General features: G+C 38.2%; 1 annotated feature.

Annotated features, from left to right (window-relative positions):
- Nucleotides 1,569-2,070: an enhancer, noted in NCBI's record as "NANOG-H3K4me1 hESC enhancer chr8:25472096-25472597 (GRCh37/hg19 assembly coordinates)". NCBI's record gives its function as "activates a minimal SCP1, AML or CMV promoter by ChIP-STARR-seq in naive H9 embryonic stem cells {active_cell/tissue: H9 hESC(naive)}" and the evidence as "EXISTENCE:reporter gene assay evidence [ECO:0000049][PMID:30033119]".

Here is a 10,115-nt window from a genome sequence, read left to right on the forward strand (position 1 = left end):
GGTTTTTGAATCTGGGTGCTCCTGTATTGGGTGCATATATATTTAGGATAGTTAGCTCTCCTTGTTGAATCAATCCCTTTACCATTATGTAATGGCCTTCTTTGTCTCTTTGTTCTTTGTTGGTTTAAAGTCTGTTTTATCAGAGACTAGGATTGCAACCCCTGCTTTTTTTTTTCTTTTCCATTTGCTTTGTAGATCTTCCTCCATCCCTTTATTTTGAAACTATGTGTGTCTCTGCATGTGAGATGGGTCTCCTGAATACAGCACACTGATAGGTCTTGACTCTTTATCCAATTTGCCAGTCTGTGTCTTTTAATCGGAGGATTTAGCCCATTTACATTTAAGGTTAATATTGTTATGTGTGAATTTGATCCTGTCATTATGATGTTAGCTGGTTATTTTGCTCGTTAGTTGATGCGGTTTCTTCCTAGCCTCAATGATCTTTACAATTTGGCATATTTTTGCAGTGGCTGGTACTGGTTGTTCCTTTCCATGTTTAGTGCTTCCTTCAGGAGCTCTTTTAGGGCAGGCCTGGTGGTGACAAAATCTCTCAGCATTTGTTTGTCTATAAAGGATTTTATTTCTCCTTCACTTATGAAGGTTAATTTGGCTGGATATGAAATTCTGTGTTGAAAATTCTTTCCTTTAAGAATGTTGAATATTGGCCCCCACTCTCTACTGGCTTGTAGAGTTTCTGCCAAGAGATCTGCTGTTAGTCTGATGAGCTTCTGTTTGCAGGTAACCAACCTTTCTCTCTGGCTGCCCTTAACATTTTTTCCTCCATTTCAACTTTGGTGAATCTGACAATTATGTGTCTTGGAGTTGCTCTTCTCAAGGAGTATCTTTGTGGCATTCTCTGTGTTTCCTGAATTTGAATGTTGGCCTGCCTCACTAGGATGGGGAAGTTCTCCTGGATAATATCCTGAAGAGTGTTTGCCAACTTGGTTCCATTCTCTCCATCACTTTCAGGTACATCAATCAGACGTAGATTTGGTCTTTTCACATAGTCCCATATTTCTTGGAGTCTTTGTTCGTTTCTTTTTAGTCTTTTTTCTCTAAACTTCTCTTCTCGCTGCATTTCATTCATTTGATCTTCAATCACTGATACCCTTTCTTCCACTTGATCAAGTCAGCTATTGAAGCTTGTGCATGCATCACTTAGTTCTCGTGCCATGGTTTTCAGCTCCATAAGGTCATTTAAGGACTTCTCTACACTGTTTATTCCAGTTAGCCATCCGTCTAATCTTTTTTCAAGGTTTTTAGCTTCTTTGCGATGGGTTTGAACATCCTCCTTTAGCTCAGAGAAGTTTCTTATTAGTGATTGTCTGAAGCTTTCTTCTCTCAGCTGCTCAAAGTCATTCTCCATCCAGCTTTGTTCCACTGCTGGCGAGGAGCTGCATTCCTTTGGAGGAGAAGAGGTGCCCTGATTTTTAGAATTTTCAGCTTTTCTACTCTGGTTTCTCCCCATATTTGTGGTTTTATCTTCCTTTGGTCTTTGATGATGGTGACACCCAGATGGGGTTTTGGTGTGGATGTCCTTTCTGTTTGTTAGTTTTCCTTCTAACAGTCAGGATCCTCAGCTGCAGGTCTGTTGGTGTTTGCTGGAGGTCCACTCCAGACCCTGTTTGCCTGAGTGTCACCAGCGGAGGCTGCAGAACAGCAAATATTGCAGAAGGGCAGATGCTGCTGCCTGATCCTTTCTTTGGAAGCTTTATCTCAGTGGGGCACCCAGCTGTATGAGGTGTCAGTCGGCCCCTACTGGGAGGTGTCTCCAAGTTAGGCTACTCAGGGGTCAGCGATCCACTTCAGGAGGCAGTCTGTCTGCTCACAGATCTCAAACTCCGTGCTGGGAGAACCACTGCTCTCTTCAAACCTGCCAGACAGGGACGTTTAAGTCTGCAGAAGTTTCTGCTGCCTTTTGTTTAGCTGTGCCCTGCCCCCAGAGGTGGAGTCTACAGATGCAGGCAGACCTCCTTGAGCTGCAGTGGGCTCCACCCAGTTCGAGCTTATGGGCTGCTTTGTTTACCTACTCAAGCCTCAGCAATGGCGGACACCCCTCCCCGAGCCTCGCTGCCACCTTGCAGTTTGATCTCAGACTGCTGTGCTAGCAGTGAGTGAGGCTCCGTGGGCATGGGCCCCTCTGAGCCAGGTGTGGGATATAATCTCCCAGTGTGCCATTTGCTAAGGCCATTGGAAAAGCGCAGTATTAGGGTGGGAGTTCCCCGATTTTCCAGGTGGTGTCTGTCACGGCTTCCCTTTGCTAGGAAAGGGAATTCCCTGACCTCTTGTGCTTCCTGGGTGAGGCAATGCCCCACCCTGCTCCATGGGCTGCACCCACTGTCTGACAAGCCCCAGTGAGATGAACCTGGTACCTCAGTTGGAAATGCAGAAATCACCCATCTTCTGCATCACTCACACTGGGAGCTGCATACTGGAGCTGTCCCTATTCGGCCATCTTGGAACCTCTAATAGTTTATTCTTACTATTAAAATAACACACATTTAGAGATGCAGACTAGGAAGCTTCACAGAGACAAGAAGTTAGTAAAAATATGTGGGCCAAAATATTTTTGTGAGAACTCTGGAGACTACTTGAGAAGTCTAAGCACCCTGAGCTACATACAACAGGAAGGGATTTCAGATAAAGGGTTAAGGAAGTTCATAGCACTTTGTATGCTCATCTGTGCTCTGCCCCCATTTGACCTAATGCAACACAACTGGAAGGAAACTTCCCATGCCAGGGATCCTCTCTTTGAATGAAAACGAAGGAAAGGACCATGTGTACAGCAGTCTGGCTAGTCTGGGAGCTGCCTCAAGAATTGGTATCCATCTCAATTGGCTCAGAGGGCTGATTGAGTTTGTGACCTTGTTTGCAAGCTGCTGAAAACAGGTTCAATAATAGTGGCACATTTGAGCTGCAGTTCCACAGGCAGGTGCCAGAGGGAGCAAGAGATTTCAGGCTTCTGAAAAGAAGCAAGGACAAGCTGCAATGGGAATTTCACAGGACTAAAAAGCTTATGTACATGCCCAGAGAAGACACATTCTCAGAGTTTGAAAGATCCTAAAATAGACTCTAGCTGCGCTGATCAGTGAAGTCTTTTGCGTGAAGCCAGACCATAAAGTTTATGAAAAGTGGTTGTTGTTTTGAATGTCCATGTCTTAACAGCATCATCAGCACAACAAAAATCACAAGGCACACAAAGAAACAAAGATTTATGGTCCAATCAGAGGGCCAAAACAAAACTTCAGAAGCCAACCCTAAAGAAATGAAAACATATGGGCTTGCTGACAAAGAATTTAAAATAACTGTCATAAATATGCTCAATGAGCTAAAAGAGAATACAGATAGATGACTAAATGAAATCCAGTAAATGACACATGTATAAATTGAGACTATCAACAAAGAGAAACTATTTTAAGAACACCAAACAGAAATTCTGGTGCTAAAAACCATAATAAGTGACCTCAGAATATCACCAAAAAGGTTCAACAACAGACTTGATAACGCAGAAGAAGAAATCACTGAACTTGAAGACAGGTTATTTGAAATCCTCAAGTTAGAGGAACAAAAAGTAAAAAGAATGAAGAAAGTGAAGAGAACCCAAGGAACTTATGGGGAAGTATCAAGCAGCTCAATATACTTATTACAGAATTTCCAGAAGGAGAAGAGAAAGAAAAGGCCAGAGCTCTTAGCTGAAGAAATAATGGCCAAATGTCTCCCAAATTGAAGGATAAAATGGACATACAAATTTAAGAAGCTCAAAGATTCCAACAAGGATAAATCCCAAAAGACCCACACCTAGATATAATCAAACTGTGAAACATCAAAGACAAAGAGACAATCTTGAAACCAGCAAAAGAAAAGCAACCCATCACATCAAAGAGAACTTTGATAAGATTACTAGTGAATTTCTCAGCAGAAACTTTGACGGCTAGAGGAAGTAGGATGTTATACTCAGGGTGCTGAAAGAAAAAAGGAAAAGCAAAAATACACTCCAATAAACCTGTCAACTGAGAATATCGTGTCCAGCAAACTGTTCTTTAAAACTAAAAAAGAAATTAAGATTTATTCAGGTGAACAAAAACAAAGGGAGTTCATTATCACTAGATCTGCTTGGCAAGAAATGCTAATGGGAAGTTCCTCAAGGTGAAGGGAAAGGATGGTAGACAGTAGCACAAAGCCACTAAAAAATATAAAGTTCTCTGATAAAGGTAAATTCATAGACATAGTAAACTTTATTACTGTAATTTTATTGCACACCTTCACTTTTAATTATTGTATAGAATTTAAATTACAAAACATTAAAAAACTATAAATCTATGTTAATCGGTATACAACCTATGAAGAGGTAATTTATGATAGCAATAACAAGTGGGAGATTGAGCATGTAGTACTAGAGTTTTTGTATGACATTGAAATTAATTTATTAGTTTAAAATAGAGTGTTATAACTCTAAGATGTTATATGTTATTACAGTGGTAACTATAAAAAAAATTTATAGAATATACACAAAAGGAAATGAGAAGGAAATCAAAGCATGCCAATACAGAAAAATCAACAAAACATAAAAGGAAAGCAATAAGAGAGAAAAAGAACAAAAAGCTGTAAGACATATGGAAAACAATTAACAAAATGGCAATGGTAAGTCCTTCCATATAGACAATTACTTTGAATGTAAATGGATTAAATTCCCCGGTCAAAGATATATTCGAAAATTTGGTTTTAAAAAACAGGATTCAGCTGGGTATGGTGGCTCACGCCTGTAATCCTAGCACTTTGGGATACGAAGGTAGGTGGATCACTTGAAGTCAGGAGTTTGAGACCAGCCTGGCCAACATGGCAAAACCCCATCTCTACTAAAAATTAAAAAATTAGCCAGGCATGGTGGCACATGCCTGTAATCCTAGCTACTCAAGAGGTTGAGGTGGGAAAATTGCTTGAACCCAGGAGGCGGAGGTTGCAGTGACCCAAGATCACAGCACTGCACTCCAGCCTGGGCAACAGAGCAAGACTCTGTCTCAATAAAAATAAATAAATAAGTACAAACAAAACCCAGGATTCATCAATATACTGTATATCAGAAACTCACTTTTGATTTGAGGATACATATAGGTTGAAAATGAAAGGATGGAAAAAGTGTTGCAAATGGTAACCAAAAGACAACAGGATAGGCTATACTAAAATCAGAAAACATTTACTCTAAGTCAAAAATTTTTGTTTATAAATGACAAAGAAGGACATTATGTAAGGATAAAAAGATTAATTCACCAAGAAGATATAATTCTAAATATTTATGCATGAAACATCAGAGATCCTCAGTATATGAAGCAAACTTTGACAGAATTAAAGGGAGAAACACACAGCAACACAATAAAAGTAGATTTCAATACCCCTCTTTCAATAATGAATAGAATAACCAAACAGAAATTACCTTTAAAAATAGAAGACTTGAACAAAAGTATAGATCACTTGGACCTAAAAGACATACAGAAAAGTCTACCCAACAATAACAGAATATACATTATTTTCACGTGCATGTGAAACATTCTCCAGAACAGATCACATATTAGATCATGGAACAAATCCTAACAAATTTTAAAAGATTGAAATTATTCAAAGTATATTTTCCAATCACAATGGAATGAAACTAGAAATCCATAGCAGAAGGAAAACTGGAAAATCCACAAGTATGTGGAAATTGAACAACACACTATTTAACAACCAATAGGTCAAAGAGGAAGTCAAAGGGAAATTGAGAAAACACTTTGAGAAAAATGAAAATGAAAAAAATCCCATATTTAAATTGATGGGATACAGTGAAAGCAGTGCTATGAGAGAAGTATGTAGTTATAAGTTCATACATTAAAAAAGAAGAGAGATAAAAACTTAACTATTTAACTTTATACTTCAAGGAACTAGGAAAAGAAGAACAAACTAAACTATAGCTACTAGAAAGAAGAAAATAATAAGGACTAGAGAAGAGATTAGTACTATTAAGTAGAAAATAGAAAAATAGTAGATAAAAAATAAAACTAAGAGTTAGGTTTTTGAAAAGATAAAGAAAATTGACAAACTCTTAGCTAAACTAATTGAAATAAAAAGAAGACTGAATTAAATAAAATCAGAAACAAAAGAGGGGATATTACAACAAATGCCACAGAAATAGAAATGATGAAAAGAGATTAATTGTATGCTAACAAATTGGATAACCTAGAAGAAATGTATACAATCCAACACAACCTACCAAGACTGAATCATGAGAAATAGGAAATATGAATAGATCAATAACCAGTAAGGAGATTAAATCAGTAATTAAAAAGTTCTTAACAAAGAGAAGTATAGGACCATAGAGCTTCGCTGGAGAATTCTACCAAATATTTAAAGCAGAATTAACACCAATCCATGTCAAGCTCTTCCAAAAAATTGAAGAGGAGGGAATATATCCAAGGTCATTTTACAAGGCCAGCATTACCTCAATATCAAAGCCAGACAAGAACACTAAAAGAAAAGAAAACTACATACCAATACTGATGAATAGTGATGAAAAATCCTCAACAAAATACTAGCAAACTGAATTCAGCAGCACATTGAAAAGATTATCCACCATGACAAAGTGGAATTTATTCCTGGGATGGAAGGATGATTCAACATATGAAACTCAATTAATGTAAACTTCATGTTAACAGAATGAAGGACAAAAATCACATGATCATCTCAATTGATGCAGAAAAGCATTTGATAAGATTCAATACCACTTCATCATTAAAAACACTTAACAAAGTAGGAATAGAAGGAAGCTTTCACAGCATAATAAAAGCCATATATAACAAATCCACAGCTAACATCATACTCAACGGTGAAAGACTAACACTTTTCCTCTAAGATCAAGAAAAAGGCAGGTTGCCTGTTCTTTGCTGCTTCTATTCAACATAGTATTGGAAATCCTAGCCAGAGCAGTTAGGCAAGAAAAATAAATTAAAAGCATCAAATAGGAAAAAAACCCTACAATTATCTCTCCTCACAAACCTATGATCTTATATGTAGAAAACCCTAGAGATTCCATGAAAAGCTATTAGAACTAATAAATTTAGCAAAGTTGTGGGATACAAAATCAATACATATTTCTATACACTTACAATGAAGAATTACAAAATTAAGAAAACAATTTGATTTACAATAGCATCAAAACAAATATAATTCTTAGCAATAAGTCTAACCAAGGAGGTGAAAAATTCATATACTGAAAACTATAAGCCATTGCCAAAAGAAATTTAATAAGATACAAATAAATAGAAAGATATCCCATATTTATGGATTGGAAGACTATATTTATGAGATGTAAATGCTACCAAAGTGATTTACAGTTTAACCACAATACCTATCAAAATCTCAACAGCATATTTTGCAGAAATAAGAAAAATCCTAAAATTTATGTGGAATTTCAAGGGACTTCAAGTAGCCAAACATTTTTTTGAAAAAGAAGAACAAATTATAAATGGAGGACCCACACTTTCTGAATTCAAAGCATATAACAAAGCTACAGTGATCAAACAATGTGGTACTGGCATAAAGACAGATAGACCAATGGAATAGAATAGGGAGTCTAGAAATAAATGCTCACATATATGGTCAAATAATTTTTGAAAAAGGTGCCAAGACCACTCATTGGGAGAAAAGACAGTCTCTTCAACAAATGGTGTTGAGAAAACAGTATATCTACATGTAAAAGAATAAAACTGGATTCTTAAATCATACACAAAATATTAACTCGAAATAGATTAAGGACCTAAAAGTAAGATCCAAAGTTATAAAACTCCTAGAAGTTATCATAGGGTTAAAGATTCATGACATGGGATTTGGCAATGATTTCTTGGCTATCATACCAAAACCACAGGCAAAAAAGCAAAAATAGCTTAACTATTTAACTTTATACTTCAAGGAACTAGGAAAAGAAGAACAAACTAAACTATAGCTACTAGAAAGAAGAAAATAATAAGGACTAGAGAAGAGATTAGTACTATTAAGTAGAAAATAGAAAAATAGTAGATAAAAAATAAAACTAAGAGTTAGGTTTTTGAAAAGATAAAAAAAATATTCCCGGGAAAGAAAGAACTCGATATTGGGGACCACTGGTAATATCTACCACATGTTGTTTATAAGGGGAATAGGAAGTATCATATCTGAAAAATTTATTCTTTGTTCTTATAGGGCGGAGTGTGTATGTGTGTGTGTGTGTGTGTGTGTGTGTGTGTGCAGGAAATTGAGAATAGGGAAGACAAGGCTGTATATTTTCCCCATTTGGCAGTAGGACCCGAAAAGGACTCGATGAAAAAGCTAAAAGCTACTTGATCTCAAGTACTCCATGAGGTGTTTTCTTGTTGACTAAATCAAACTTTGTCGAAATTTAGTGTTAACTATCAATGGGCTACATGGTCCAGACAACTCCATTGTTAATCATCTGGAGGAGGAAGGAGGTAAGCCTTGGGCTGGGGGTGGGAGATCTGTATCTTTCCACTGGACCAGGAGTGATTGAACTGGGAATTTGGATAGGGGGACATTTGAAGAAGGTCTGGCCCTTATAACATGGCAGTAGGTCAGAAGAAAATGAGAAAAAGGTGTTCAGGTCCTGGAGAAGATCCCGTGAAAACCAGAGCCCACAACTAGAAGCAGTGACAGGTAACAACCAGTTTTAAGGCTTACTTTTTGTGTTCTAATTTTCTTCTGTGATGTTCTGATAACACTGCAACCAGGCTTGTTTGTGCTTCTAGGATTTAAGGAAGGGTTCTGACTCCATGCAGCAGGCTAAATTTAGAGAGGCAGTGGCAGAAGTCAGGAAAAATAAAAAGACTACAGTGACGACAGGGTAAATTTCTCCAATTTTTGCAGAAATTATGTGCGGAGGGGGCTGGGTATGGTGGCTCACTCCTGTAATCCCAGCATTTTGGGAGGCCGAGGCGGGCAGATCACGAGGTCCGGAAATCGAGACCATCCTGACTAACACAGTGAAACCCTGTCTCTAATAAAAATACAAAAAATTAGCCGGGTGTGGTGGCGGGCACCTGTAGTCCCAGCTACTGGGGAGGCTGAGGCAGGAGAATGGTGTGAACCTGGGAGGCGGAGCTTGCAGTGAGCTGAGACCGTGCCACTGCACTCCAGCCTGGGCGACAGAGCGAGACTCCATCTCAAATCAATCAATCAATCAATCTGTCAATAATTTATATGGGGAGGGTACTTGTAAGAAGAATGGAATTCCCAGTCCAGGGAATGGAGTTCTGCTGTGTTGTGACTTGGCATCATGTGACGGGAAATCCATGAAGACTGGGGAATGTGTGGATATCTGGGTCACACTTAGGTCTTTAAAAAGGCAGAAGTTAGACATCTTTACCAGCTGAGAAAAATGGATATGAAAATGCTTCCATTTCAAGAGATGGGGGTCTCAGCTATGTTGCCCAGGCTGGTCTCAAACTCCTGGCCTCAAGTGATCCTCTTGCCTCAGCCTCCCAAAGTGATGGCCAGAATTTTGTATTGGCTTTTAAAAAATATCATACATTTCTACCAGTGACTATCTCACATATGCATCGAACCACTCAGTATCATAATTGGTAAAGTTTTCTGGCACTTCAGTAACAAAACAACACTTACTTTGCACTGAGCACCTACTATGTGCCAGTTACTCTACACACATTAGCCTATGTGCCAGTTACTCTATACACATTAGCTTGACTCTTAACCGCCATGTCTGATACATGTTATTATTCCAGTTTTTATTCCATCTTATTCCATATTTTTTTCCAGTTATTCCTGTTTCACTTATAATGAAAGTTAAATTAAGCCAAATTAAGTAAAATTTTCAGGTTCTCACAGTGAGTTTGCAGCACAACTGCGATTTGAACATACATCTCCTGGCCTCCAAAGTCTACAGTCTTCCCATAAATATTAGACTTCCGTCTTCTGCCCCTACCTCAGGGGCTCATCTGGACAACAGGATGGTCTCTACTAAAAAGGGACTCAGCAATGTTAACTTGTTATCATCAGCAAAAGCATCATTAGTCCCACAAAGCCGTATGCAAGCACTCACAGCTGAGTGGGCTAACACAGTGGCTGTATTTTTCTGC

The sequence above is a fragment of the Homo sapiens genome, chromosome 8 (assembly GCF_000001405.40).
Source record: "Homo sapiens chromosome 8, GRCh38.p14 Primary Assembly".
NCBI classification, from domain to species: domain Eukaryota; kingdom Metazoa; phylum Chordata; class Mammalia; order Primates; family Hominidae; genus Homo; species Homo sapiens.